Source organism: Homo sapiens, chromosome 12 (assembly GCF_000001405.40).
Source record: "Homo sapiens chromosome 12, GRCh38.p14 Primary Assembly".
NCBI classification, from domain to species: Eukaryota; Metazoa; Chordata; class Mammalia; order Primates; family Hominidae; genus Homo; species Homo sapiens.
In genome coordinates this window covers 49949437-49977327 of record NC_000012.12, presented here as the reverse complement: position 1 = coordinate 49977327, position 27891 = coordinate 49949437, and the positions used below count along the sequence as shown (strand labels likewise).

Sequence of the window (27891 nt, the reverse complement as noted above, 5' to 3'; positions counted from 1 at the left end):
ACAAAGCCTCAAGGTCAGCAGACCCAGGAGAAGAGCACACAGGGTCCCTGGTTAAGTAGATCCAATGATGTGAGAGAAAACCCAGTCTCTCTTCCCTCCCTCTCAATCATCTTTCTCTCTCTCTTTTCCCCTCCTCCCTCTCATTACCAACAGCAATTGTCTTCATACCCAATAATTACAGTAACAGCAACAATAATCATCATTTATTGGGGTTGTTTTTCTAGCATTTTAACTTCTGAAAGTATTTTCCGATTTCTTGATTTCACAGCAGTCCCTGGAGGAGGATTGTGTGTCCATTTTACAGCTGGAGAAGCCGAGATCCAGAAAGGACCCCCAAGTTGTGGGCAGAATAAATCTACAGCAGCTTTTAACTATTAAACCAACTTAGATTTTGGTAGTCTTTCAGAGGCACTGAATCTCAAATCTTAGTTTCCTGGGTCCCTCCTGGGTTCCTACCACCCTTAGGGCTTATTCAACAGCTTTCTGGGGATCCTGTAATGCTGACAGAGAGCCTGGAGACGGCTTCTTTGACCCAGGTCATGAGTCAATGGCTAGATGGGCACTTCCCCTCTGAGGATTGTTCCTGCCTGAGAGTGGGCTGTGGGGTGGGAGCTGGGGCAAGCACCTGGGAGGAGGCTTCCCTGGGAAAGGCCTGTCTGGCTCAAACCTCCCTTCCTCTATCCCACCTCTCTACGAGCCTGAGAAAATGTTCTTCTCTGTGTCAGTTCTTCTCAAGGGTGGGGGCCTCTCCAGAGCATTTGGAGGATTGAGGAATAAAGACCTATTGGGAGAGGCCGGGCACGGTGGCTCACGCCTGTAATCCCAGCACTTTGGGAGGCCGAGGTGGGCAGATCGCCTCAGGTCAGGAGTTTGAGACCACCCTGACCAATATGATGAAACCCCATCTCTACTAAAAATACAAAAAATTAGCTGGGCGTGGTGGCAGGCGCCTGTAATCCCAGCTACTTGGGAGGCTGAGGCAGGAGAATCCCTTGAACCCAGGAGGTAGAGGTTGCAGTGAGCCGAGATCATGCCACTGCACTCCAGCCTGGGTAACAGATCAAGATTCTGTCTCAAAACAAACAAAGATCTATTGGTAGAGCAGTCTCTGTCCTCAGGAAGCCCCCAGTCTGAAGGAGGAAATATAGCCCCCAAAACCACACCCAAGGTCAGAGAAACACCCCCAGGAGCTCAGAGGCTGTCCCAGGGCCTGATTCCTCCAGAAAGCCTGTCCTCTCTGGACCAAGGGTTTCCTGGGTGGGTAAGAAGCTGGGGCTCCCTGAGGTCCCTATAGCTCCCATGTCTAAGCAGAGTGGCTGTCTGGGCTCCCATTCCTTTCTCCCCCAAGACTTGGGCATCTGGGGTCAGGACTCCTACGGGGTCCAGTGGGTGAGAGGATGGGAGGGCGATCCTAAATCCCCTGCCTTCCTCTGCTCTGTCCCACCGAGAGGTGGGGAAGCCCTACAGAGAGGGAATGGGACAAATTCACTCCCAGATTCTACCTAGAAACGTAATGCCAGGGATAGGGCTTGTCCCCTCCAGCCCACCTGGTCAGGACAAAAGGTCAAGCCTCCCCCTCCCGCCACCCCCAGGGAGAACCTCCAGGCAGGTCCTGCAAGGCAGGAAGCCCAAGGGCGCGGCCAGGCGTAGGCTGTTTCACACACTCTCCATCTCCACGGCTCCCGAACCCGGCTGGGATTCCTTCTTCAGGGGCTCCGCCCCTGCCCCTGCCCCTGTCCCCACCTCTACGGTGCCTGTGAGGATAGCCAGCCGCTGCGCCAGGGTCTTGGTGTCGGGGAACAGGACGAAGTTGTAGATCAGTGAGGCCAGGAGGGCTCCCATCAGGGGCCCCACCCAGAAGACCTGAGGAGAAGGATGTCGTCACCCCACCCAGGAGCTATCAGGACCACAGGGTGGCTCTGGGACCGCTGCCTGCTTCCCCAGTGCCGACTTGATCTCCCAGGTCTCCCTCAACTGTCTGTAAGGTGCTAAATTTGAGAACCACGAGTCGTGTTTCCCAAGCCCACAAGGTAAGGGGACCTTGCCCCTTGCTCTCCCTGCCCTCCCTGGGGCTGAGCCCAGGCTCTGCAGCCGTGGCTGGGGCCTGGGGCCAGTCTCCTCACCCGCCCCCGCCTCTTTCCTCTCACTTCCCCCGTTTTAGCCAGGAGTCCTGGCTATTGCTGTTTCTGTCTCTGCTGGTGTGTGTGTCTATTTCTGTTTGTCTTTTTCTTTATCCAAGTTTGAAAATTGGTCCAGCTGGAGAAAGTGAATAAGGAAACAGCCAGGACTTAAAAGTCTGGGCCAAGGCTGCAGCTCCTGCCCTGGCCCATTTCTTGCCAGTCCACTGGGTATCCTGGGCAACTGAAGCCGAAAAGAAAGGAAGTCTCAGCCAAGACATTCACCCTGGCCTTCTGAGCTTAGGGAAGCTGCAAGTGAAACCCACCGTCTACAGGCAACTCAGGCTCCCTTCCCTCCCCAGGGCTGCCAGCAGAGGGGCTCACCCAGTGGACTGTGAACTTCCCAATGATGATGGCAGGGCCGAAGGAGCGGGCTGGATTCATGGAGCAGCCAGTGAAGTGGATCTGGGGAGCAAGTGCAGGGTCAGGGTGGGAGAAGGTTTAAGGCAGGCCTGAGAGGGGACCATTTCTCAGTCCTGGCTCAGAGCCTTAGCCCCAGCCACGGCCTCTGTAGTGCCATATCCTGGGCCTAGAGTGCAGGGGGTACCACTTTGGCTCCAAGGCACGAGGGGCTCAGGGAGGGACACTGCCTGGCCTTCAGGGCTCCACAGTTTCCCCGGGGACGGACCCGGTGTGTGCATGTGCACGGTGTCCCCTCTGTTCCTTACCCCAATGAGGTGGCCCAGTGCCACAGAGATCCCAATCATGGTGGCCGGGGAGCCTGATGTCTGACGGCTGTCGGTGGAAGCGAAGACACAGAGCACCAGCTGCAGGGTCAGAAGCAGCTCCACTGCCACCGCCTGGCCAGTTGAGACACTGTTCCGGACCTGGACAGAGGGAGTTACTCTGGACCAGACGCGGGCTCTGCCCACGGACAGACAGAGAAACCCCTGCCACTGGGCCTGGTCTCCTCAGCTGGAGGGGGGTGACACCTCACTGCCGCCCAGCTTCAGGACTTCGGGAGGCCTGTGCAGAGGGGTCCATATCTGCTCTGGACCCTTGCTCCCTGCAGAAGTGAGTGGTGCTCCTCCCACCCCACCAGTGGGTTGGTTGGGGCCAGTGGTTCAGGAGGCTTGCTTGAGAGGAGACTGGCAGCAGGTGTGGAAGGAGGAGATTTGGGGGAAGAAGGTGGAACACAGATGGTTACGAAATGGAGAAGGGGCGAGTGAGGCAGGCCTCGAGGTGGAGGGAAGAACTTGGGAACAGTCGGAGAGCAGAGGACGTGGGTGGAGCCTGGGAGAAAAATGAAGTCCCCGTGGGGTCCCCTTCTCTACCCACAGGCCCCGCACTCCCTTGGCCGCATCTACCCTTAAACGCCTGGTCCTTCTATTCCTTCTCCTTTATGTGGCCTCTTCCTTCTCCACCTGTTCTTCGCGCCACTATCCCATTTCTATTCTGCCTAGACTGAGGTCAAAGTCTCAGTCCTCTGGGTCCTGGGGCCCAGCCCGGGAGGATGTGGAGCCTGCAGCTGACTTGTTTCCTCCTTTGCTCCCTCGCCTCCGTCCTGGCCTCCACCTTCACCACTTGTGCGCATTCCCGCCTCCTGGCCCTCCAGGTGCCCCTCCCTGCACCTACCACGTTGATCCCAAGGGTCTCTCGGATGTCTCCCGGCATGACCCCATAAAGCAGAGCAGCCCCCACCGTGGCCCCCACCAGCTGGGCAGCCACATAGGCCACAGCACGGGGCAGAGAGATGTGGGAGCCTACGAGGAAGGCCAGCGTCACGGCGGGGTTGGCGTGGGCCCCGCTGGCCTTCCAGGTGACCTGCACAGCCATGGCGGTGACCAGGTTGAAGGTGATGGCAATCTGTAGCACGGAGGGAAGTGCTGTGGGCCAGCGCATGACTGAGCCCACGCCAAAGAACACATACAGCCCCGTGGCCAGGAACTCTGCAAACAGCGCCCTGCTGATGGCTTTCCAAAGCCTGCACGCCAACATGCTGGCCCAGCCACGTCCCCCTGGCTCCACTGCATCCATGTCCTGGTGCCTTGGCCGTTCCTTGCCTTGCTCTGGGGCCTCTTCTCTGTTCCTCTGGTCTCTGATCTCCTGTCTCTTCTGGTGTCCTGTCTCTGGCTGACCCTGGCTTTTGCTCTCTGTGGAGGCTTCTCTGGCCCCCACCTGCAGCTCCTCCACCACGCTCCTGTCCCCAGGACTGTGCTGGTCAGACTGGCAGGGCGCAGGCGGATGGGCTTATGCATGTGTATGGGGGTGGAATGAGGGGTGTTGCTCATATGCCTGCTCCAGCCTGAGCTGACCTGATGGGGTGGGATGTGGGGGCTGTCTCTGGGCACTGAGCTGGAACCTCCTACGATGATTTCCAGGGCGGGTTGGGCCTGACTCGTGTTGTAGACAGTCCAAGGTCTAGCCTGAGGGTCGCAGGTGCAGGGCAGCGGGGCTCATGGGATTTCAGACTGTTCATGTTCCAATGTCAGCTTAGATACAGCAAGATCACTCAGATCCCCGGCCTGCTTCAGGGGGTCCTGTGCATTCCCAGGTCCTGTTCGTCTGGCCCCCTCCATATCTAGGCTTTGCTTCCAAATGGGCTGACACCACACCGTGCCCGTAAACCCAGAAAGTAAGTTCCCTCCTCCACTCCCACCTATACCCGCACTCACAGAATGCAGATGTGAATACAGTCGACTTTACCAAGGACGCTGTGGACACTGTGGCCTGTGGGGTTGCAGAGGGGCGGGTGGAGAAGGGGTTTATTCCACAGCGACTCAAACCGCGTCAGATCACACAAGGCCATGGGCACCTCTGCTGTCCACCAGGGGAAATTTCCACTGGCCCTTCACTCACTTCCTCCTGCCTCCCTGCCCTCCCCCGCGCTCCCCTCCCTTCTTGGCTCCTCCGTCTCTGCTCTCCTCCTCTCAGGGGCCAAACAGATTTCACTCCTTTCTCACACAAGGCAGCTTAACCATTTTTTGTGGCTGCACTGGCCCTATGGTCACCCATGCCCTAGGCTTTCCCTGGCCCTATGGTCACCCATGCCCTAGGCTTTCCCCTTTTAACCCTAGCAGATAGCAAGGTATCTTCTCAAACAAAAGTGTTCCTCCCTAAGAAGAGTCTGCCAAGCTATTGAAATAACAGTCTTCCCCTCTTCACCGTAGCTGGGTGTCCTGACCTCATCCCTGGCATATCTACCTGCCTACAGATGTCCCCTGGTTGTTCTCAGGCTCCTCAAACGCAATCTGTCTCCAGATGTGATCCTCCTGTCTCCTGGTACCCCCCCCAACCCCCATGTTCTCCTCTTGTTTTCTGCAGCTCAGCTGGTGGCATCTGGGAAGCATCCTTGACCCTTTTCTCCCTCCTTCCCCCATCCAGGAAAAGCATCAAGTCCTGCTGATTTTCAATCCTAAATATCTCCTGACTGTGCCCTCTTTTTGCCACCCCTGCCGCCCTGCAGCCTTTCACCAGTCTCTCTGTCTGCTCCCTTGCTCCGTTTCAATCAATTTTCCATACTGCAGCCCAAGTGCTAAAATGCAAATCTGATCATGCTGCTCCCCTGCTAAAATCCCTTCCAAGCCTCCCATCCCTCTGGAAGCTCTGTGCCTGCCTTCAGGGACCCTGCAGCTCTCCCTCACCTCTCCCCACTCTGTTACCCTCTGGTTTCACCAAATGCACACTCTTGCTGGCCTCTCCTTGGAAAAAGCTCTCTCCTCTTCTTGGAGATCCCTTGCACTCCCTTTGCTTGGGTAACTCCCATTCCAAAGGCTCAGCTTTGACGTCGCTTGCTCCTTTCCTGGGTGGGGACCCTTCTGCGTGCTCCCACCACACCTGGGCATTCTCCTACACTGCAGTCACCACAGGGTGTTGTCATGGTGTGAATGTGTCTCCCCAGTGAGGCAAGGCGGGGAGGCCTTTGGGGGGCGGGAACCAAGTTTTGTTCACCCCTGCATGTAGTGTCTTGCACAGAGATTGGCACAGTAACTGCCCAATAAATATTTGTTGAATGAATGAATAAAAACTTCTTGACTTCCCGGGGCAGATGACTATGTCTGCTGCATTTCAGCCTCATACTCATACCTTCCCCCAACTGGGACTGAGCCCTCTGATATCTTCAAGAGAAACATCTTAACTCTGGACTACAGGCTCTGTTCCTCCCCAGTCCCTGTCTGAGTCCCAGTAACATCCCTCACCCATTTCCTTCTGTTCTCCCTGCTGTCTCGACTTCACCATGTCCTCTCCAGGGAACTCCTGGGCATCTCACCCTGAGCAGGCTCTTGCCAGCGCTCCGTGGTCCTGGCTCCCTGTCCTCTCCACCCCGTCCCTGCTGCGTGTCTCTGTTCTCATCCTCTTCCACGCCTTTCTGCCCCCCATCTGCGCTGCTGAGCACTGCTGGAGAAACTCACCCAGTCGTGCAGACTGCTACCATGACAAGTTCATGGTCTCTGGCCCCAGTAGGGATCGCAGCTCTGCTCAGCAATCCTTCCACAGCTCTCCCCTCATTCTTTAAACCTCCCCCACTCTCTTCAAGTATTCGACTCACTCTGGCTTTCTCTCAGCAGAGCACCCACCCTTGCCTCCCACCCTACCTAGAAAGCCAAGCTACCAGGCAAGACTTCTTCCCATCCTCCCTCCCAGCCAAACTCACCTGCAGCTGCCCTGTGGCCTTGAAGTAGGGGCAGCCCTTCTCCAGTGTACAAGTCGGGGTCGGGGGACCCTCCTTGGACTTCTGGCTCCCTTTGAGTGACTGGGACCCTCTCTTGGCCTTTCCCAGTCTCACCTGTGGCTTTCAGGCTTCCCCTTCTCTTGACTTCTTCCCTATAAACGTGCCTGCGTAGTCGCGGAGCAGTGAAAGATCATGATTTGGAGTCAAGGTTCCAGCCACCTATCCACTGCACAACAGCCCCCAGCCCCCGGCTACCGAAACCGCTCTGGCAAAGGCCAGCATGATTTCCTCTCCAGCCCACTGTGGCACATGGGCTGCCGGCCATCTTCCTGACGCCTCTTTTTCCCTGCCTTTGAGGCACATCTCCTGGCTGTCCTCCCATCTCTGTGAGGGCAACTCTGCCACGTGGCCTCCATGGCTGGCTCCTCTTCTGCTGATCCTTAAGCCCAGGACTTGTCTACTCCTGGCCCATGGCCCCTCACTCCTGATGAGTGTGCCTGGGCAGCCCTGTTCCCACCTGTGACTTCCACACCCTGCAGATACTGTCGACTCTCAACACTGTCTCTGGCCCAGATCTTTCTCCTAAACTCCAGACCCACTCACCTCTCACTGGACCCTCCGGCTTGCTCCTCCTCACCCTACTCTCACTCAGTTGCCCAGGCCAGAACACAGGAAGCATCTGGTGCTTCCCCTTCCCCCAGCCCATAGCAAATAGGTTCCTTGTACCAGGTTCCTGGTAGCTCTTTCTCATATTTGACACCTCTTTCCATCCCCACTTGCCACTGGCCCAGTGCAGCCCTTATCACCTCTCCAGGATGACTGCATTAACCTCCTTCCTGGGCTCTCAGACTATGTTGTGCCCTTCCACACCACTCTCCTCTCCACTCACTGTCAGAGAGATCCTTCCAAAATGCAAAGCTCATCAAGTTACTCCTCTGCTCTAAAGCTTTCAATGGCTCCCCATTGCCTCAGAATCAGGTCTGAATACCCATGTTTAACATGCAAGGAAGGCTCCCCTTCCACTGCCCACCCTGCACCCTTTACTCCAAACAGGCCAGACATATTTCCCCAGAACGAGCCCTTTGCTGTGGAGTTTGGATGCCTCTCCTTTTTGTCTCTCAAGACTTTGCTCAAGTGCTGTTCTTCTGCGAAGCCTGCCCTCATTTCCCTCTCCAGCAGAATCAGGGCAAGCTTCTTAGAGAAGCAGGGCTTGAGCAAAGCCAGGGGCTGGTTGTGGCCTCTGCCTCCTCAATGCCTCCACTGTTCCAGCACAGACATCCATCCCTGGCTGGCATAGAGGGGTCATTCAATAAATGCTCAAGGGATGACTGGGCATGGCTGTGGGGGCGGCGTGGGCACTGTTCCTCCCTGGCACGGGGGGTTCCCTGGCTGGGGGCTGTCCCAGGGTAGCTCAAGGGCACTTGTCTGCTTCCCTCACTTCAGGCAGGGCGAGTAGAGGGCTTGGTGGACAGGCACTTTCATCTGACCTAGCCTCAGTTTCTGCCCTTGTTAAATGGGCGCCACGTGGCAGCAATGCTTACCTGTTGAGAGCTGCTGATGAGGCCACTGAAAGGATTGTGAACACTGCCATGTGTATTGCACCCTAAGCAGTTGCTTAACCTCAAGATCCTCATTTATGCAGTGGGGATGATGCTAATAATTCCCTCCTCCCTGTGTGTAGTTAGGAGTAAATGTGCTGATACCTAGGAGAGGGCCTCCAAGTCAGAAAATGTGAATGATTAGGATTGTAACTTCCCTGCCCCCTGCCGTTAGACAGCTGTGGGGACGGGGCTGCATGGCGGCTCCAAGACAGGCACCTCAGCACCTGCCCTGGGCCTTGGAGCCTGAAAGTGCTAAGTGCAGTGGCAGCCCTTGTCCCCAGCTAGCTCGGGGCTGAGTCTCCTGACCTCTGCCCAGCCTGGGACAAGGTCCTTCACCTCCTGAGGCCAGGTAGCCATTGACCAGGGCTTGCTCCAGGCCTGGCTTCCTGTCCTAGCCAGCACGTGCCCGAACCCAGCCAGCACTGGGCTCTAGTGCCAAGCTTTAAGCTCATTCATGCTCAAAAACCTTTTGCCGAGGTTCCTTATCTGGCTGCCTAGGGCTGCCTGTCAATGCAGCTCTGACTGAAGTCCTATTAGAGATTGGGGAAAGTAAGGGGGGCGAAGGGGAGGGGAAGGAGGAAGGTACCGGGAGAGAAAAGGAGGGAGAACACAAACTGATGGGGAGGGAATTCAAGATGGCTTCCCGTGCCTCATCTCAGTGATCCCCACAAAACCTGGAAAGGTAGGGAGGTCTGATGTCCTCATCCACACATGACGGAGACACATGAGGCCAAGAGGAGCGGAGAGACCTGGTCCTCCCAGATGTCCTTCCTCCTGTCCACCCATCTCAACAGCCAGCCCCTCTGTCCGCTCTCCACCTCTCCTCCCGGTCCTCTTCCATCTCTCCCCATATCACCTTGTCCACCTCCCAGCTGGTGAGAACTGGCAGGCCCTGGGGAGAGGAAGAGAGGGAGGAAGGGGAAGGGAGCCTCCCACAGGAGAATCCAGACTCTCCCTGGGTTCCATCTTTAGGTGCAGCAGAGGTGACGGGGACTGTGTGTGCTTGCGTTGGACAGCACACAGGTGTGCCTCTGAGAACCCGTGGAGCCAGGCTCATAGGTCTGGGCCCGCGGTGGGGCCGGCGGTGGCCCTGTGAGCGAATGCTGGAGGAGGGCTGATGTGGCTCTGCACATTCGAATGAACGTGCGGAGGAAAGGAGACGCACACACCCGGAACATGCAGCCCTCGGGCACGACTGAGGTCAGTGTGTGGCCGCGAGCCCCGGACTGTGTGGGGTCAGTGTGTGTGCGCGCGTGTGCACGGGACTTTGTGAGCCCGCAGACCTGCCGCTCCTGCAAGATCCGACACGCAGACACAGCGACCCCTGCTGGCCACACCGCCCCAACCACGGCGCTTGTCAGCCCCAAGCCCTAGCTGGAAGCCTGCCCAAGGGCCAGGCGAGGCAACCTGCAGGAAGCTCAGGGCCGGTAGCCCCCTCTGACTTAGTGCCTTGCCTGCCCCCGCGGGTTTGTCTCCCAAGGGTCCACTGTCCACCCTGCCGTGGCCCCCATTGGGCTGGAGGAAGAGCCCATCCTCCTGGTCATGGCTGTGTCTGTACCTGAGTCTCCTGGAGACTGAGCGGAGAAGGGCTCCCCTCTCTTCTGCGCCCCACCCGGATAGCGGGGCGGGGATGCATTGGGATAGGCTGCCTCAAGGTGGCCCCAGGGGACTCAAGCATGAGGGACTCCCTGTGTCCTCCACTCCACCCCCATCTGGCTAGAGCCCAGACCCAGGACTTGTGGACGACGAGGCGCCACGCTGTGGATTCGGTGGACGACGTCGCCCTCTGCTGGCCAGAGCTGGCACTTGCAGCCCGGCTCCCCCAGCCCGGGGCAGGTTGGAAGAAGTGGGAAGGGACACGGTGGGTGGGGGGCTGCTCCTTCCCTGGGCTCCCGGGGTTCTCACACGCAATGCCACGTGGTGTTTACTGTAAGCCTATGGGGCGGACATGAGTGGCTGACCTCTCACTTGTAGATGCTTAGACTCTAAGTGTGGAGAAGGCTGGGGGGTCTGCCACTCCTCACCCCAGCCCCTGGGACTGCCTCTCGCTGGCCAAGAACTACAGCTTCCCCTACCCCTTCTCAGTCCGTCTCCTGGCCCCGCTGGACAGGCGCTCAGGTCCAGACACCCCCAGGAGGGCAGAAGCATGTGGCTGGGGCCTCAGACTAGGCAGGCACGTGTGGGTTTCTATTAACACGACTATACTGAGCACTCACTCCAAGGCGCCTGACCATTTGTACAAGCGTTTTACCTCCAGGCGTGGTCTCATTTTCTCCTCACGACAGCACATAGCACATGAGGTCGGGAAAAGTACCCCTGTTTTGCAGATAAGGTCCTTAAAGCTCAGAGAGCTTATGTTGCCCCAAGTTTCACGGCCAGATTGGAATGAGGGTAGTTACTGACTCCAGGCTGGGCTCACTGCGAAGCTGGGCTATGCGGAGCTGTTCACTGCATGACCCCCCGCCTTTTCCTCACAGAAAGCTGACTGGTCCCAGGCATCTCATGCCCTCATCTGGTCCCCACAACTATCTTGTGAGGAAAGTGATATTTTATCCCCATTTTACAGATGAAGAGAGGGAGGCTCTGAGAGTTTAAGGAGGTTACCTAAGGAGTGTCAGTGACAGTGGGACAAGAGCAGGCTAGGACAGAGCTCAGGCCCAGAGGAGAGGACGGTGGGGACACTGGTGGGCCAAGGCATGAGAAGCCCTGGAAAAGGGGGCTGGGCCACATGTGGCTTCTGGGGGGGTCGGGGGGCTGCTCCCTCTGGGCACAGGCTCCCAGCAGGACACCTTTTTGAAAGACCAAGGTGCAGAGAAACGAGCCCAGGGCTGTGATGGAACCTGGCTGGTCACCCCCTTGCCATCTCGAGGGGCTGCGGTTGGCTCACTCCTCCGCCCTGCCTGTCACACCCTGGTACTCCCCTCAAGTGCCAGCCAAGCCCTCCTCAAGTGGCAGGGACTTGATTGACATGGCTGAGGGGGAGGGGTGGAGGGTGACTGCAGTGAGGACCCCTCCTTCCTGGCCTCTAGCTCTATTTTGATATTCGGTCTTCTCTCAGTCTCTCCCTGCTCTGTTCCCATCTCTCTGATTCTCTGGGCCTCCCATGGTCACAGTCTCCCTTTCTTCCCACAGAGCACTTGTCCTGGGGTCCCCTGGTACCCTGTGGAGATCGTGGTGGAGGATGTGGGATGACAAAGAGGAGAGGCAATGGGCCAGAGTGTCTCAAGGCACTCTGAGGAGAGACAGAGGTGGAACGTGAGTATCAGTGATTTATTGGGTAGCCCCCACTCTAAACACCAGCAGCCCCACGCATGCATCCTCACCAGAAATAAATAAGGCGGCATTCAATGAACCAGTCTGTCTTCTTCCTAAGGAGCTCTGGGGAGGGTCTGCCTCTGCCCACCTAGGGGCTGGGATCCCTTCAGCTCTTGAGGAAGGGTTGGGGAAGGTGGGGGGTGCAGGCTGCAGGCCCGCCCTTTTCTGGCCTGGCCCTTGCAGCCTGTGAGCTTGGCACTGCATTCACAATCTCTGAGGTCTGTCCCAGAGAGACCTGTCCCCAGCAGACCCCAGCCCCTGGCCCCTACCCCAGGAGTCCCATCATGGGTTCCTTCTCCCCTCTCTAACTGTGCAGCCAGGGTGACCAGCTCCTCCTCCTCAGCCAAGAGGACCGGTTGTGCAAAAAGGAAGCTTGTGTTAGGTACTTTTTCTTCTTTTCCCCCTTGGCTCAGGGGCTGAGGGGCTGGCCCCTGCCTGACACTGGTCAGCGGGTGGTCAGCTCCATGGTCTTCTTCCGCTCTTCCCGCTGCTCCTCCCAGTCCTCGTCAGGCTCATACGTGCCTTTGATGATGGCCACACGCTCACTCAGGCTCAGGGAGTTGGGGAAGAGCAGGTAGAAGTAAAGGATGGCAGCCAGGACCGCCCCCACGATGGGCCCTACCCAGAAAACCTGGTGGAGACAGGGCAGGAGTCAGGGCGCTGAGCCCCAGACCTTGAAGACCACATGCCCCCCACCCCACAGAGGACAGACCCACGGACCCTGAGAGGAGACAGACATGCAGACTTCCAGACCTTCAGGGAGAAAGACTTCCTCCCACCTCGGGGACGAATATACTGACACACCACTCCCAGGGACAGAGACATGGACCACAGACACCTAGACCCTCAAAGAAGGCAAACAGATTCCCAGAGGGACAGGCTCCCTCCAACCACACCGGAAAGAGAAGCAAATAAACCTTCAGAGGGGACACGTGGGTCCTCAGAGAGACGGATGAACAGAGCGCGTGTCCCCTCCACGCAGGGATAGAAGCAGACCCTGGAGAGAGTGACCATGAGCTTCCAAAGGGGGGGCAGACAGACTGTCCACAGGGACAGACCCACAGGAAGACTCTCCCAACCCCCTCAACAGGGACAGATAAATAAAACATCAGAGAGGACCAGCACGCAGACACCGAGGGGGACGGACACCAAATCCTCAAGGGAATTGACACAGAGCCCCTCTGCACCTCCAGGTTCAGTAGAGCCTCTTCCATAAGCGGATAGATACTCAGACTCCCTGTCCCCAGCGGTTCAGGCCATACAAAGCCACCTCTGCCCCTCTAGCTGAATCCCATCCCCTACTGTGTCCCTTTCTCTGTCAGCCACCACTCCGTGGCCCACCCCCAAGCTCTAGACCCACAGAATCCAGGTCTGGTGAGCTCTGAGCTGCCACTGCTGGGTCTCCAGGCCCTCATCTCCAGGGAGCCAGGGGAAGGGACAGACTCACCCAGTGAGCGGGGCTGAACCGATTCATGACCACCGCAGGGCCAAAAGAGCGGGCTGGGTTCATGGAGCAGCCAGTGAAGTAGATCTGGATAGAGACAGGGCGGTGGAGAGAAAGGCAACATCCTGGTCCACTCCCACAGAATCTGGACTCTCTCAAGGTTACACTGCAGTCCAGGGGCTCAGCCAGGTCTCAAACTCAGGCTGGCAACCTCTCCCTCCAAGGATCCCAGCTGCTTGGTTAACCATGGACCCTTAACTACGCCCTCCTCTCTTCTCTGCTCTGAGGTTGGGTTTGATTCCTGTCCCATCCCACCTCCTACTTACTCCCATCTTTCCTCAGCCCAGAGGTTTTGGGGGGATCAATTCTGGGGCCCAGTAGGGCCAGAGTCCAGGAGCCCTAAATCCAGGCCTTAAACTCTGCTGGACTCATCCATCTGAAGTGGGCTCCGCTCCAGGGCTCCATTATTTGCCTTGAGTGCCTGCCCCACCCTCACCCCAGCCCAATGTCGGTACTGCTCACTCCGACAAGGTGGCCCAGGGTGACAGACAGGCCAATGGACAGGGCTGGGGAGCCCACAGGGCTGGTGCGGCGGGAGTCAGTGGAGGCGAAGATGCAGAGTGCCAGCTGGAAGGTCAGAATCAGCTCCACCACCATGGCCTGGCCCTGCGTTGTGTTGTTGTTGAGCTGCAAGGGGATAGCGGGTTAGGACCCCGGCCACCTTCTGGCTGTATAGCCAGGGGCTCGGGGAGTAGGGCTTTTGGCCTCCAGGGACACTTAGAGCACCTTGGCACCTGGAAGCCAAGTCCTGTGGACATCGCCCCAGCGAAGCCATTTGTTAAAGACACTGTACATTTCATAGTTTGCACAGGCTTGAAGCTCAGGCCTGTGGCCAAAGGGCAGAGCGTCAGGGTAGCTTTTCCTGGACACGGGCCTATCAATGGCTCTGCCCAACCCCCAGCCCCCATAAGCTGGCATTTACCCTCCATCCTGTGGGCAGCTGCCCGGTTTGCCTGCCTCACACCCCATCCCGGCCTCCTGCCCGTGCCTGGCCCCATGCCAGTGCCAGCCTTAAACCCGTCTCTCCAGTGCGGCTGACTCACAGCTTGACAATGGCCAAGCAAATCCTCCTCTGTGTTTGATTAATGAACCCAGTTTGCATGGGGTTGGGGGCTGACTCTGGGGCTGCAGGAGGTGGGAGGGAGGCAGGGGTGCGGGGTTGAGGGGAGGAGCACAGGTTGGGGAAAGAGGGAACCAATACTCAACAGAAACTGCTCTGCACTGGCCCCACATTAGGGGGTTCCTATCTACGGTTTCTAAATGTGAGCCCCTTGACACCTGCTGTGGCAGACACAACCATCCCCATGGAGGCGCTGAGAACAATGAAGCACAGACAGGCCAGGGTCACCCAAAGCCGTGATGACAGCCCGCTTTTCTCTGGTGGTTCTACTCAACCGCTCCACTGAGGTGATGGGAGAGGTGAGGGGCCCAGGAGGAAGGTGGAGCTCAAAGGTGAGACAGGAGGAGGCAGAAGTTTCTGGCAGGAGAGGAGGGGTAGCAGGCATTGGAGAGAGACCAGGGTGGGCCAGCATGAGGGGAGGGGGAGAGGAGGTGGGCAGGAAGGGAGCACATATCAGCCTGGAGAGTTGCCTTCCTGGCCTTGGGAGGCTCTTGCCTTCCTGGTGAAGGGTGTGGGCTGGCCCACTCTGCGGCACCCCTTTTTTCCAGGTGGGGTAAGAGGCCTGGTCCTGAGCCCACCCCAGGGTCGAGGCTCCCACCCCCCCCCCAGGGCACTCACCGCGTTGACGGCCAGATTGCCCCGGGCATTGAGCGGTGCCACACCGTAGAGGATGCCAGCCCCGGCAATGGCGCCCACCAGCTGGGCCGCCACGTAGAAGAAAGCCCGGAGCAGCGAGATCTGGTTGCCCACCAAGAGGGCCAGGGTGATGGCGGGGTTGATGTGGCCGCCGCTCACGGGTCCCAGGGCCTGGGCCAGCGTGCCTATGGCCAGGCCAAACGCCAGCGCGATCTGCAGGATGGTAGGCAGCGCCGACGGCCACTTGAGGGCCGAGCCCAGGCCAAAGAAGACGAAGATGAGGGTGGCCAAGAACTCTGCGAACACGGCCTTGAGGAAGGCCACGGAGCACACCTCCTTCTTCATGGTGGCCGCGGGGGCCCGGCGGCAGCTGCCGCGGCGGGGGGCGCCCGTTGGGTCGCAGGCGGCGGAGGAGGTGGATGCGGCGGGGGCGGGGGCCTGGCTGCGGGGCGCCGCGCACTGTCCCGCGCCCACTCCGAGGCTGGCGGCCTGGCGCGGGCCCTGCTGGGGCGCGCTATATAGGGGGCGGGCGGCCGGGCGCGGGGCCGGCGCGGGGGGGCAGGGGGCGGCTCCTACGCTCGGGGGCCAGCGCGGCGCGCGGGTTGGGAGGCTCCAGGCCGCTGCGGGCCCGCCGCTCTCCGTCGTCCAGCGCAACCCCGGCGCGACCCCCGCCCCCCGGCCGGGGCAGCCGCCGGCCCGTCCGGGCCACGTGACCCAGGCGGCGGTGTAGACCGGCCCAGCGTCCCGGGCCCTGCGCATGATGCGCCCAGGTTGGCTCCCGCGCTCTCCTCGGTGCCGTGCGCCCCGGACTCCCTGGGAGACGGGGCTCGGTCCCGGCGCTTCACTCCGACCTCGGGGCGTCTAGCTCCGCCGGCCTTTACCGCGCTCCGTGCGCGGCCTTCCCCTTTTCTTCTCTTCGGGCTTTTGGTCCAGCTCCTCCTTTTCCTCCTGCGACCGGAGCATCCTGACCCGCCTCACCCCCGGCTGGGTCGGAGTGATGCTCGTCCCGCAGGTCGGCGCCGCTCACCTCCCTCACCGCCGGCGGCGGGGGCGGGCGGCCGGGCTGGGTCCTGCAGGGCGGTCCGGCCGTCCGACGTGGGCCGCTCCCGGCCTGGGCCGGGCGAGCTTCTGGGCTTGGAAGGCTGGCGTTTTGGGAAAAGTGGGCACCGTGCCAGCCTGCCCCGACGCTTCGCAATCCTCGACGCCCGGTAGCTGGGCAGTACCTGGACTAGGCAACGGATCCCCGGAGGCGCCCTCTCCCAGGCCGGGGTTCCCCTTGTCGACGGGACGGGACGGGGGTGTGACGTGAGGCCTTGAGACTCTGGGAGTTGGAGTGGGGGAGCAGGGGGGGTAGAGACGCACCACTGACCTCCCAAGCGCGGTCTTGGCGTCTTCCCTCTTCCTGCTAGAAGCCCCTCACCCTGGATCTAAGACTCTCCTTCTCTTCCTCCACCTCCCCTAAGTCTCCTTCAAACCCTCACTTGGTCTTGATCTCTCTCCCCTCGAAATCTGTTTCTGTCAGTCAGTCTTTGCAAAACCCTATTTCTCTTTTTGTCTCTGTCTTTGGTCTCTGACCCTCTCCCTCTGCCAGCCTCTTCCTCTCGGTCTCTCTCCGAGAGGTCTCTTTCTCATTTCAGTCTCTCTGTTCTCCACCTCTCCATCTCTCTCTCTCTCACACCTTCTCATTTTCTGTTTTTCCTTCCTGCCTTTTGCTGTCTTAGTCTCTCTGTCTCTCTCTATTCATTTCTCTCATCCTGCAGTTTCTGTCTCCTGGCTATTTTCACCTTTCCTCTGCCTCTTAATTTTTGTGCCTTTCTTTGTTTCTGTCTGTTTCTACCTCATTTTCCATGTCTCTCTCTCTTACATGTGGTCTTTCTCAGTCTCCCCAAAGTCAAGTTCTTCTACCCCTGGTCTGGGTGACACTTTCTTCCAGTTCCCATCCCCCTTCCCTCTGAGCTTGTAACCCCTTTGTGACCTGCTGCCTCCTCGCACACCACCCTCTCCCTCTTCCCACCCACTCCAGGTCGGGCATGTGGAGAACGAGGCTGGAGGGCTCTCTAGGGCTTAGAGGGGGAGGACCCACCCCCAGGATCCCGGGAGAGGAGCTGCATTAAAGACTCCCATCCCCATGTGTGTTAGAGAAGCCCTTAGCACAGTGCCTGGCACAGAGTAAGGCTCAGTAAAGTCTCCTTACGTTGTGACTGTTAATTTTAAAAGCCCCTTGAGGGTTTAGTGTGGTGCTAAGCTAGGGGGAAGAGTCCAGCGGGAGGGTGCAGAGGAAGTAGAGAACAGGTGCCTCCTCTGTCAGTTTGTCAGGCAGGGCTGAGGGGAGGAGCCTGCAGGAATGCTAAGGACTTGGAGGAGCGGGCTCTGGGCTCTGTGGCAGCTAAGATGCCAAAGAAAACAAGGGCTAAAGAAACCCCGCTATTGTTCCTGCCCAGCTCTGGCATTTCCTGCTGGAGCAGCTCCTCCCCCAGGTCTCTCCTCTTAAGGCCGGAGGTCAGTCTGTCCTTTCTTCCATGGGTCCCAGCGCTTTGTCCCCAGCCAATCATGCCAGCTGTACATGCCAGTTGTACGCAGGATTTTCTTCTGGGCCTGGGACTTGGGCTGGACAATGACCCTGATGACCCCAGAGGCCATTGGGGGCCAGGCTCCTTTGCTGCTGAACTTGCCTCCAGTTCGCACCCTTTCACTTGCTTTCTCATCCTCTCTCCCCAGGCACTGTCTTCATAGTCCACAGGTCTCAAACTCCAGCATCTCAGAATGAAAGGATTCACAAGTGCTCACAAGAGGCTTGGCTGCCAGGGGAAGCTCCGACCTGAAGATTTGAACTAATGAGGGACTATAAAGGCCAAGACCTTGTTCTTGCCATTTTAGAGATTCAGAATATAATCTACAAAGTTAGAGATTATAATTGGCCTCCACTGTGTGATTTGATTCCAAGCTACCCATGAAGAAACCCAGACTCAGAGGTCACTTGCCTAGGGTCACACAGTGACCTGAGATGGGAACCACAGGTCGCCACATAGACTTGGTCATCAGGAGTGGGCCTGGTGAGGCCAAAGAAGGAGATTTCATCTGTCAAGGTTACTCACACAGGGCAGCTGATTCTGTTTCCTAGGGCCTGTGTCTTAGGCTCTTCCATCTCTCTAACCACTAGAGTCCCTCTGTCCTCAAGTCATCACAGTAAACTCCCATTATGTCTCGGAATTCTCTTTGCCCAAGCACTCAGGCCCTGCCCTGGCAGCTCCAGAGGAATGCCCGGGACCTTTGTGAGCTGAGTGATGGGTCTCCCCATTTGTGGCAGGGGGAATTTGAATGTCTTAGGGAGAGCCCTTCCCCTCCTCTCCTGATATGGGGACTTCTGAGTTCCCTGGGAGAAGTTGAGGGCTGGGGTAGAAGTGGTAGGGAGCTCCGCCTGTCTTCTGGTACCTTGGGCTGTATTTCTATTACCACTGCCAAGTTGTGGAAGAAACAGTACTTATTGGCAAATGAGCATTTATTGAGTGCTTATTATATGCAGAGCAGTTGAAGGAAGGTAGATAGGAGAACGCCATCCAAGAACTGGAAGCAGCCCTTGTCCCCAAAGGGCTTACAGTCTAGCTGGGAGGCATTGTATATATACAACATCACAGCTTAAAGATACAAAACGACATTGAAGCACCATTTGCAGGTGCAAAGTCATTTGGCACAAAGTGGGAGTATGGGACAGCTCAGAACCTTCTCTGTCCCCAGCTTAGGGACCTGGAGGTCTGTCTACCTGTCTCCATGCTGCCCTGCCTCTGTCTGGTTTGGTGTGTGTGATCTCTGTTCTCTGACTGACCGGGTGCTCTTAAAGGGCAGAAACCAGCCCCACATTCTTTGTCCTCTCTACCCTGCTGCCCTCGCCAAGGCTCTCCGTCCACTGCAAGACAGTGGGTTGGGCTGGAAAGGCCCAGCCATGTGTTCTGGCTTCTGCCAGGGCCTCCCAGGAGCCTAGGATTTGTCTCAGTGGAAAAATCATGGGATTTTGTGTAAAAAGGTCTGAGTTCAAGTGTTGGCTCCACCATATACTACCTGTGAGACTTTAGACCAGTCCCTTAGCCTTGGTTTCTGAATCTGTAAAATGGGAAGAACAATATTTGCTCTACCTTTGTCACGGGGTTGGGAGATAATCACAGGGGACGATAAGGGGAAGCTTTGGAAATAGCAAAACCCTTCATGGCTGGGGGCCTTTGTCCTTCCCTAACCTATCTGAAGTTTGAGGAAGATCAGATAAGTCCGTGCATGCAAGGCACCCAGCACAGCAGCTGGTACACAAGAGATGCCAGGAACTGCCAATTTCCCTCCACCCCTGGAGTTCCATCACTTGGAATCCTTTTTTGACCTCTGACTCCAATCTGGGCAATAGAGGCTAGAAATGGTAGGGATTTCACATTTAGTTTTTGGGGAGATGCAATCCAAAAAGTGAAACAGACATAGAGAGAAATTCTTGGCTTCTTCTAGAGGAGTTTGTTGGGGTGAGGTGGGGTGGGGATGAGGTGCCTGAGACACATCCATGCTGGGCTCATAGCTCACTGCCTTGCTGCCTTTGAACCTCTAGAGCAAGGACACTCAGGTGCCAGGAGGACAGCTCTGGAGGTCACTTTGGTTTCTGACTCCACCCTTCTTCTGGTAGTGAGGCCAAGTGGCTGTCACTAGCTATTGGGGGTTTGGGAGAGTCCTCTCCATAGCACATATGGCCCAGGGCAGCCTTTTTTGGACCTCAAAGAGAGCTTTGGTCAAGGAAGACAGGAAAGAGCATAGATGAGAGGGGACACAATTACAGAGATGTTCCTTATACACTGTCTTTCTTGGATGGGAGCAGAAGGGAGAAAGAGGCTAGAGACTTAGTGCCTGGTGCACAGTGGGTGCTTGGTGCAGTGTGAGATAGATACAGACAGAAGTCTTGAAGGCATGGAGGCCACAGAGAGCATGGGGGCGGAGGGGGGTTCAAGGTATGACCCACATGTTACTTATACAGCAGGCTGGAGAGGGAAGGAGAGAATGGATAGGGCTGGGTGGTAGGAGGAAGGAGGTGGGAGAAAAGATAGGGCACACATTCAGGGTAAGAAGAGGTTAAGAGGCTGGGCCAGGATGGGGCCAGCCCCAAACCCATCTCCTTCTGCCTGGATCTTGTGGGCTCCCAGGACTCTCCTTTGCTTTGGCCATCAACGAAAGGAGGTAAGGGATGTTGAGCATCAGACTCCTTCTGCATCCTTCCCCCAGGAAGCAGAAATAATGAAATGATTCTAGTAATGCGTGATAATGGTATTAAGAATTACAGTTTACACAGCATCTTTACATGCGTCATCTCACTTAATCCCAGTTAATCTCTTTTGAGAGCAGTAGTACTGGCCTAGAAATTTAGAAGCCTGGGTTCTAGACTCAGATCTGCCTCTGCCTGGAGAAGTCATTTCCCTTCTCTGGTCCTGAGAGCAGCAGGCTGCTCTATCCACAATGACTGTCCAGTGGTAGGAGCCAGAAGCAGGGGATCACGGGCTGTGGAGAGGCAGACAGAGAAGGAACAGAGATTCCTGGGGTGGAAAAGCTGCTGCCTGAGGACTGGGGAGAGTGAGATGGGTGATGGATGGGTATTGCCTGGTGCCCATGGTTGCATGCCTGAGCGCCTTGCCCAGCCAGCCATAGGTGTGTGCTGGGCAAGAGGGCTCACTTGTGAAACTGAGTGTCTCCTTTCAAGAAGTGTCTAGGTGCAAATCTCCCCTCACCCAAGACAAAGGCCCGGGTCCCACAAAGGGCTTTTGTTTTCTGCGCCGAAGTGGGAGGCTAATCTCTGGGTCTGGGGCACCCCTGGAGACGGGGGTCCCGGGCACACACAGCATACACACACGTGAAGGCGTGCGCACTCATATGCCTGCTTCCTCTTTGGAGAGGTTCTCCCTCACCACAGAAAGGAAATCTTTGGCCACCAAAGATTTCCTTTTTCCAGAGGCCATGTCTAGGGGAGCTGTTCTCTGGTTGACACCTCTCTACCTCCAGCAATGAGTCTTGGCAAGCCTTGGGGCCCAGCGCTGCAGGTGGGGGAAATTTTCCAGGAGGAGCCAGATTGCGGCTGGAAATCAAGGCCCTCCCTTCAGCCCTCTCAAAGTGGCCTCCTTCCCTTCCCCTTCTCCTGAGGAGGACTGGCACCCACACTCATCCACTGCAGGAGAAGCGGATTTATTGCAGGTTGGGGAGGAAGGGGTGCAAGGGGAAGTGAGAAGTCCCCAGCCATGCACACTTGCACCAACGTAGGCAAACCTGTTCACACTCAGGGGCATGCACAACTCTGCATGTGAGGACAAAAGAGAACTTGGGGATGAACACACTTGCACACTAGTAAAACCAGTTGCATCATTCCCGGAACCCCCAAGGCAGGGGTCTGTACACTCCCCACTCAGTACCTGGGTGCAGGCTCTCCAGAGTTTCCCTCTTACCACCCACCTGCCTCCCTCCCCAGCTCAGTCCCCTAAGTTCCCAGTTCCCTGAAAAAGGCTGGAGAAGCCACCACTAGCTGCTCACAGCCTCAGGGCAGGGGACCTGCCAGGCTCAGGGCTCCCTCCGGCAGCCTCCTCCCCGCCTGCTCACAGCACTGGCCTGGGCGCGCACGTCCAGGAAGCAGCTACTCTGCGCTGGGGGGCCAACTTCAGACCTGCGGGAGAGGAGGGACGGGGTGGGCCCTTCTGCCTCGGGCCTCACAAGCGTCCGTCGGGGCCGTAGAGGCCGCTGGCGGCCCTCAGGCCTTGGTACCCCGTGGCAGGCTCTGCGGCGAGTGCAGCTCCACCGACTGCCGCCGTCGCACCTCGCGCTCCTCCCAATCGGTGTCCGGCTCCAGGCCCTTCAGCACTGCCAGGCGCTCCGACAGGCTCTTGGCTGGCGGAAACAGCACGTAGTTGTAGAGGAGGGAGCCCAGGATGGCGCCCACCAGGGGTCCGATCCAGAAGACCTGGGGGCGAGCGGAGAGGGCGGCTTGGCACCCGCGCCGGCACCGGCACGCGGAGCCCGCAGGCCCCGGCGGCACACTCTGCGGCCGCACCTCTCCTCCCCGACATTAATCTAGTAAAATGCTTATTTATGTAATTACAACGACAACGCCAGCTGCTGGGGAAGCCTTGTCAGTGCGGGGTTAAGGGTGCGAATTCTGAAGCCACTGCCTGTGTGTGTCCTGATTCCACCACTTAAGTGCTGTGTGCACTTCAACAAGTTACTTACCCTCTCTGTGCCTTTCACTCTAAGAATGTCTACCTCCTGGGGTGGTTGTGAAAACTGAGTTAATGTTTGCAAAGCACTCAGAACAAGGCTCACCACATACTAAGCACCAGATAAGTGCTAAATACTACCACTTATAGAGTTCTAAGTGCCAGACACTGCATTATCTGGGTTACACCGGTAACCTCACTTACTGTTCCCAAGAAGCCAGTGAGGTAAGCTGTTGTCATCCTCATTCACAGACGTGGAAACTGAGTCTTTGGCATCAGATCTGAGGGGTGGAACCCAAGGCTCCCCAGGACCAGGAGGAGTGTGGAGGGTTTGGGGTACCGCTGCTGAGCCCCCATCCCATGCTATTCCAGCTCTTGTTCTCCCTCTAAAATGGGTTTCTAGAGAAGGGGAGGGCAGGGGGTTTCAGCCATTACCCAGTGGTCATCAAATTTGCCAGTGACGACAGCTGGAGCCAGGGAGCGGGCAGGATTCATAGAGCAGCCGGTGTAATGGATCTGCAGTGGGAGGAGGGCATCAAAGAGAGAAGGGAGGTGAGGACAGGGCAGGAAGTCCTTGTCCCGCACTGCAGTGCTTGACCTCAGCCTAAAGGGAACCCACGTGATGGACAATTAACATCACGTTTTATTTACAGATGGGCTGGAGTGATATCTGTCCCTCTGGGGTATCTAGGAGTCAAACCTCTGGGGTGTCTGTTCCTCTTGAGAGTTCTGTGTATGTGTCCCTCTTGGGGTCTCTGTGTCTGTCTCTGGAGTGGTCTGTGTGTCTGTTCCTCCAGGGAGGCTGGAACCCATGGCCATGACCTACCCCAAGGAGGTGGCCCAGGGCCACAGAGAAGCCTATGGAGAGAGCAGGGGTGCCCGGGTTCTCTCCGCGGCGCTCATCGGTGGAGGCGAAGATGCAGAGCACCAGCTGCAGTGTCAGGAAGAGCTCCACAGTCACCGCCTGGCCAGCCGTCGTGCTGTTGCTGAGCTGGGGACAGAGAAGAGGCGGGTAGGGGAACACTGAGCCCACTTTCCTCTCTGGCTCCATCTTCCTGTCCACCTGCAGTCGAGGCACCAGGGGGCCTCTGGGCTGGGAGCCGGAACACCTGGGCTTGCCAGACGCCTTAGCTGCAACGACTGATCCCTTCTTCCTGGGCCCTGGCCCAAAGGCAGCCCCTGATCCCCCAGGATGCCCATGGTCCCCCCGCCAGAGGTAGCAAAACTGACTCTGTAGCCCATTAGATTGGGGCCTGAGGCTGGGAGCCTGCAGTATGAGAGGAAAAGAATGCTGAGATCCGGAATTTCTGTTTCCCAAAGAACAAGAAGGGAAGAGGTTTCAACTGCCTCAGGAAGCTTTGGGCCGGTTAGCAGGAAGACCTTCCTCTGTCTGTAGACCATCAGACCTTGGTGCAATGAGAGGCCTGTGGTCTTTCTTCCTGAGGTTAAATGGCTCCCAGAGACAGGGTCTAGGGACTTGGGTCTGGGGGACAGTCCTAGTGTGCCCCTTTCCGCTATGAGTCCGGAATCTACCTCTTTCCCTAACCCTTGTCTATTCCCCACTGCCTTTCAGGCCTCAGGTTTGCCCTGTTAGTTTGCTCCCTGCACATCCTATGGAGGTTGGGGTAAGGGCCCTGGAGCTGTGTTGGACAATGCCTCCACACCCATGTAGGCTGCCCATGGTCTCAGCAGACCCTGCCTTGGGTAAGGAGAGAACTCGGGGCTGAGTAAAGAGGTGATTTCATAACTGGGCCGCACCCAGCACTGGATTTCTCCTTGGGTTTTGTCACCCTGTACCCTACACCCTGCCTTCTGGGGCTGGGCACTGCACTGGGTGGAACAGTGACAGCTCTCAGCTCCCACGCTCTTTCTCCAGGCCCTGAACCCCCACCCCTGGGTCCGAGACATCAGGTCAGAACCCTTGGGTCTCTCTAGGGTCTAACCTCAATCCCTCCTATTGTTGTCCAATGCAGAGTCTCTAGAGGACAGTGAAAAGAGCTTTGGAAGCAGACACTTTGGAGGCCTCTGACTTGCCATGGGACTACTTAATTTGGCCTCAGTTTCTCCTTCTGTGAAATGGGATAAGAAAATGGATTCTGGAGGACTGTGGGAGGACTAGAAATGACATATTGGTTCTGTGACTTTGATCAATTGCTGTTGAGCCTCAATTTGCCACTCACCATAGGGGGAACCACAGAATTTCCCTTATAGCGTTGTACCAATGATGAGATGATAGCTGGCCTGGCACAGGGCAGGTGCATGTCAATGATTAACTTCCTGGTGGCCAGGCTGGCTCTCAGTGTCCTCAAAGGACACTTGGGATTGTCTTGAGGGTCATCTGGCTCTCCTTAGCCTCAGAGCAAGTTGGTCCCACCACTGCCCCATTCCATCCAGGCAGGGTTCTCCCCAGGTCCTCAAGGTGGTAAATGCTGAGAAGTGGCATGGAGGAGCCCTCCCAGACCTTTCTCTTCTGAGGGCCCCAGTCAGTTGTGAAATGATGGAGGAGGAGGACTGCATGTTTCCCATGGCCTTTCACTCCCAGTGCCCTGCTATTAGAGAAGGACTTCCTGGTCATGCTCTCAGGAAGTTCCTTTTTCAGTCTAACTGGACCTCTTCTTGCTGCAAACTGAACTAATTTTGTTCTCAGAGGAAATGAGCCCACTCCTCTGCTTGCCCACCTAGCCTTTCCTTGGCCCCTGGCCCCCAGCCTTGTCATATTTTCCTCTTTAAAGAACAGAGGCTGGGTGTGGTGGCTCATGCCTGTAATTCCAGCACTTTGGGAGGCTGAGGCGGGTGGATCACTTGAGGTTAGGAGTTTGAAACCAGCCTTACCAACGTGGCGAGTCCTGTCTCTACTAAAAATACAAAAATTAGCTGGGATTACAGGCGTGTAATCCCATGGGAGGCTGAGGCAAGAGAATGGCCTGAGGTGGAGGTTGCAGTGAGTTGAGATTGTACCATTGCACTCCAGCCTGGGCAATAGAGTGAGACTCCATCTCAAAAACAAAACAAAACAAAGCAGAGAAGTTCCCTAATTGGGATACCTCTGTCCCACAGATGAGGAAGGGCCACTTGTGCAGAGAAGGGGGCGCCCACAGAGATTGTGCGGGACTCATCAAAGACATCAGGACTCTTGTCCAGTGGCTCAAGGATGGAAAAGGCCGGGAACTACCGGAAACAAGCACAAAAGAGGCACTCACTGTCCTGGCTTAGGATGGGGGTACAGAGTGAGTGTTGATCTGTTGGGGGCACAGGTCATTCCTCCACATTCATGGGCCTTGGATTCACAGGGCCCACACAGACTTGAGAGGGGAAGTGGGTGGGACATGGGGGAAGGGACTGTGGCACCACCCTCAGCTCCCAAAGGGCCCACGGGGCCCAGTTAGCGCCTGTATCATGTAATCAGCAGCCAGCTTATGGGCTCCGGGGACCTCCTCAAGGTTTGGAGAAGTGAGTATGCCCATTGCTGCTTGCAGGGCTGTGGTGTGTCCGTGCCTGGCCTGTAAGGAGCACCTGCCACGGGACCTGCAAACCCTCAAAGCAGAAGAAATGCTGGGCCCCTCTTCTCTCTTGAGAACCCTGTGATGATCACTCCAAGGCTCCCCGCAGCTTGGAAAGCATGTCTGCTCGGGACACCAACCCCTGCTGAGGTATAGCCCTGTCTTCACTGTAATGTAGGCGTTGAGTCCAACAGAAACCTGGATGAGGCTCTTCCTGCACGACGGTCAGGGTGGAAGAAGCCAGCAGTCTGTCTGCATCCTGCTTTGCTCTGGTATCATTGCTCCTTTCATCCTGACCCTCCTATGGTGGCTGTGTTCCTGGCTCCAGCCTCTCTCTCTGCCTCTGTCTCCATCTCTCTCCCTACATCACCCAGAGCCCATCCCTCCCATCTCATCCTTTACAAGGGATTCCCCAGGACCTGCCCCTTGTGGATGGCAAAGTTGTGGCTACTCACAGCATTGACAGCCAGGTCCCCGCGGATGTCTGCTGGCGTGATCTCATGGAGCAGAGCGGCTCCGGCCACAGCCCCCAGCAGCTGGGCAGCCACGTAGAAGGCGGCTCGGAGAACGGAGACGTGGCAGCCCACCAGGCAGGCCACAGTCACGGCAGGGTTGATGTGGGCCCCGCTTATGTGGCCCAGAGCCTGTACCAGGGTGCCAATACCCAAGCCAAACGCCATGGCAATCTGTAGCACAGAGGGCAGGGCCTGTGGCCAGTTGAGGGCAGAGCCGAGGCCAAAGAAGACGAAGAGGAGTGTGGCCAGGAACTCTGCGAACACAGCCCTGGAGAAGGCTATGGAGCGGAGCTCCCACATGCTGCAGAGCCCTGCGGGGCTGGCCCAGCTGTCTCAGGGCCAGGATGCTCCGGGCACTCGCTCTCGCACTCTATCGCTCTCTTTCTCAAGGCCTCTGGGGAGGCTGGGTTGTGGGCATTTATAGGGTCCTTCCATCCCGGATCTGGGCACGTGGCGGGGAGGTGGAGTCGTTGAGGCCAATACCTCTTCTCCTCCATGGCGGCCTCTGCCCCCATGCCCCATCCCAGCCCACCCACAGGCCTATCACCCTATCTTGGCCTTCACAGCTGACTAATGTTCCCCATTTAATGAGCTCCAGATAAGGACTGACGTCCCTGGTTTTCCGTGTTTGTTCCCTTGGTTACCCCAGGGCTGCTGCCCCAGGGCGTCTCCCAGCCCCCACAGGGTCTTGTGAATGGGAACGTCTGGTGGGGATTGTGCCCGGCCCCCATCTCTCTGACTCAAACTGTTGACCAAGGCAGGGGCAACACCTCACACAAAACTAAGAGAGAACATGAGTGCTGCTCCTTCTGGTAACTGGGAAGTTCTTCTGTCAGACCTCCAATTATTCCTGCTTCACAGGGATGGAAAACAACTGGTTGGCTTGTGACAAATTTCCAAGGCATAAAGGTTTGTGTCTTCTGTGCTTGCATTCTTGCAGCTAATCACCCATAAATCATTAAGCTTCACCTTCTCCTGGGAGCCCCAGCCAAACAGCAGCTCCTAGAGCCTGGGGGCACTGGGACCCTGGCCCTTGGTGATGGAGTCAACCTGGGGCGGCTGAGGAAGCTGAGGGTGTCCATTCTGGCATCAGCCTGTTCCATCTATGTGACTTAACCTTTCTTGTCTTTCTCTGTAAAATGGGGAGAATAAAACTGACCTAGTGGATTGGGGTTTGGATTGAATGAAACAATGTATGTCAAGTGCTCAGAGCAGCGCCTCGTCCACAGTAGGTGGTCAATGAATATCAGCCCTTACTTACAGTATTATTTGCACTTTGAGGAGAACAGGTCTTTGCACACTCATTTGTTGGGGTCCCAGAAGCTGTGACAGGTCCTAGAAACCCTGAGGAGCTCAGGGCCGCTCTGGCCACAGGAGAAAGACATTTCTGTGGGGCAGTGAGCTGTGCAGGCTCGGGGCGGCTGTGATGCCTGATAAGCAGCTCTCTGGCCTTGGTGCCCACTCAGCTCAGCATCTGGGCAGTGCTGCCTCCTGCTATCAGTGCTGCTGTGGCCACTGGGGTCCTGGAGGCGTTCAAGTCTAGAAGTTTCCCCAGCCCCACTCACTGGCCCTTCCCTAATCCCTCCAGCCTCGCTCCCTCTCCTGGGGATTCACAGCAGGGTCAGGCTCAGAGTGGGGACAGAAGGACGGGCTTCTGCACCCTGCCCTAGCTCCTGTCCAGCAGGTCCCTGGGC

At 57.2% G+C, this 27891-nt stretch overlaps 3 protein-coding genes and 2 long non-coding RNA genes across 10 annotated transcripts, besides 3 other annotated features; 2 read left to right on the top strand and 3 right to left on the bottom strand.

Moving 5' to 3' along the window:
• Positions 1-188: 188 nt before the first annotated feature.
• Positions 189-4381, bottom strand: AQP6 (aquaporin 6). Its single transcript, NM_001652.4, has 4 exons — positions 3753-4381; positions 2846-3004; positions 2502-2582; positions 189-1863 (listed from the first exon to the last, which is right to left on the bottom strand). Exons 1-4 carry the CDS (start codon positions 4152-4154, stop codon positions 1657-1659), a joined length of 849 nt encoding a protein of 282 aa, NP_001643.2. The 5' UTR covers positions 4155-4381; the 3' UTR covers positions 189-1656.
• Positions 1823-12826, top strand: LOC105369764 (uncharacterized). 3 transcript variants are annotated; one of them, XR_001749143.2, is made up of 3 exons: positions 1823-2030; positions 11523-11645; positions 12409-12826. It is a non-coding gene; the product is annotated as an uncharacterized LOC105369764 (long non-coding RNA). The 3 variants fall into 3 exon arrangements; XR_944953.3 differs by lacking the exon at positions 1823-2030 and adding an exon at positions 10162-10226; XR_007063303.1 differs by lacking the exon at positions 1823-2030 and having other exon boundaries at positions 11268-11645.
• Positions 10008-10302: an enhancer, noted in NCBI's record as "tiled region #13914; K562 Activating non-DNase unmatched - State 1:Tss". NCBI's record gives its function as "activates a minimal TATA promoter and a strong SV40 promoter by Sharpr-MPRA in K562 cells {active_cell/tissue: K562}" and the evidence as "EXISTENCE:reporter gene assay evidence [ECO:0000049][PMID:27701403]".
• Positions 10008-10698: a biological region, named in NCBI's record as "Sharpr-MPRA regulatory region 13914".
• Positions 10075-10698: an enhancer, noted in NCBI's record as "H3K4me1 hESC enhancer chr12:50360413-50361036 (GRCh37/hg19 assembly coordinates)". NCBI's record gives its function as "activates a minimal SCP1, AML or CMV promoter by ChIP-STARR-seq in primed H9 embryonic stem cells {active_cell/tissue: H9 hESC(primed)}" and the evidence as "EXISTENCE:reporter gene assay evidence [ECO:0000049][PMID:30033119]".
• On the bottom strand, positions 11646-15456 carry AQP5 (aquaporin 5). 2 transcript variants are annotated; one of them, XM_005268838.3, is made up of 5 exons: positions 14948-15456; positions 13672-13836; positions 13153-13236; positions 12623-12702; positions 11646-12336 (listed from the first exon to the last, which is right to left on the bottom strand). In XM_005268838.3, exons 1-4 carry the CDS (start codon positions 15308-15310, stop codon positions 12646-12648), a joined length of 669 nt encoding a protein of 222 aa, XP_005268895.1. In that variant the 5' UTR covers positions 15311-15456; the 3' UTR covers positions 11646-12336; positions 12623-12645. The 2 variants fall into 2 exon arrangements, with proteins under 2 accessions (XP_005268895.1, NP_001642.1); NM_001651.4 differs by lacking the exon at positions 12623-12702.
• On the top strand, positions 14404-25816 carry AQP5-AS1 (AQP5 and AQP2 antisense RNA 2). 3 transcript variants are annotated; one of them, NR_110590.1, is made up of 3 exons: positions 14406-14661; positions 22980-23194; positions 25240-25361. It is a non-coding gene; the product is annotated as an AQP5 and AQP2 antisense RNA 2 (long non-coding RNA). The 3 variants fall into 3 exon arrangements; NR_110591.1 differs by lacking the exon at positions 22980-23194 and adding an exon at positions 25659-25816 and having other exon boundaries at positions 14545-14661; positions 25240-25409; NR_110589.1 differs by lacking the exons at positions 22980-23194; positions 25240-25361 and adding an exon at positions 17684-17876 and having other exon boundaries at positions 14404-14661.
• On the bottom strand, positions 18450-26591 carry AQP2 (aquaporin 2). The gene is made up of 4 exons (NM_000486.6): positions 26138-26591; positions 23009-23173; positions 22618-22698; positions 18450-21929 (listed from the first exon to the last, which is right to left on the bottom strand). Exons 1-4 carry the CDS (start codon positions 26495-26497, stop codon positions 21720-21722), a joined length of 816 nt encoding a protein of 271 aa, NP_000477.1. The 5' UTR covers positions 26498-26591; the 3' UTR covers positions 18450-21719.

What these genes read in the sequence shown, in the direction of transcription:
- AQP6 (NM_001652.4), bottom strand. Translation starts at nt 4,154, where the DNA reads ATGGATGCAGTGGAGCCAGGGGGACGTGGCTGGGCCAGCATGTTGGCG. An exon ending in AGACCCTTGGGATCAACGTG is followed by an intron (nt 3,005 to 3,752) that starts GTAGGTGCAGGG and finishes CCCTCTGTCCAG; the next exon opens with GTCCGGAACAGTGTCTCAAC. An exon ending in GGAAGTTCACAGTCCACTGG is followed by an intron (nt 1,864 to 2,501) that starts GTGAGCCCCTCT and finishes CCTTCTCCTCAG; the next exon opens with GTCTTCTGGGTGGGGCCCCT.
- AQP2 (NM_000486.6), bottom strand. Translation starts at nt 26,497, where the DNA reads ATGTGGGAGCTCCGCTCCATAGCCTTCTCCAGGGCTGTGTTCGCAGAG. An exon ending in GGGACCTGGCTGTCAATGCT is followed by an intron (nt 23,174 to 26,137) that starts GTGAGTAGCCAC and finishes CTCTGTCCCCAG; the next exon opens with CTCAGCAACAGCACGACGGC. An exon ending in GCAAATTTGATGACCACTGG is followed by an intron (nt 21,930 to 22,617) that starts GTAATGGCTGAA and finishes GCTCGCCCCCAG; the next exon opens with GTCTTCTGGATCGGACCCCT.
- AQP5 (NM_001651.4), bottom strand. Translation starts at nt 15,310, where the DNA reads ATGAAGAAGGAGGTGTGCTCCGTGGCCTTCCTCAAGGCCGTGTTCGCA. An exon ending in GCAATCTGGCCGTCAACGCG is followed by an intron (nt 13,837 to 14,947) that starts GTGAGTGCCCTG and finishes ATCCCCTTGCAG; the next exon opens with CTCAACAACAACACAACGCA. An exon ending in CCCTGGGCCACCTTGTCGGA is followed by an intron (nt 13,237 to 13,671) that starts GTGAGCAGTACC and finishes GTCTCTATCCAG; the next exon opens with ATCTACTTCACTGGCTGCTC.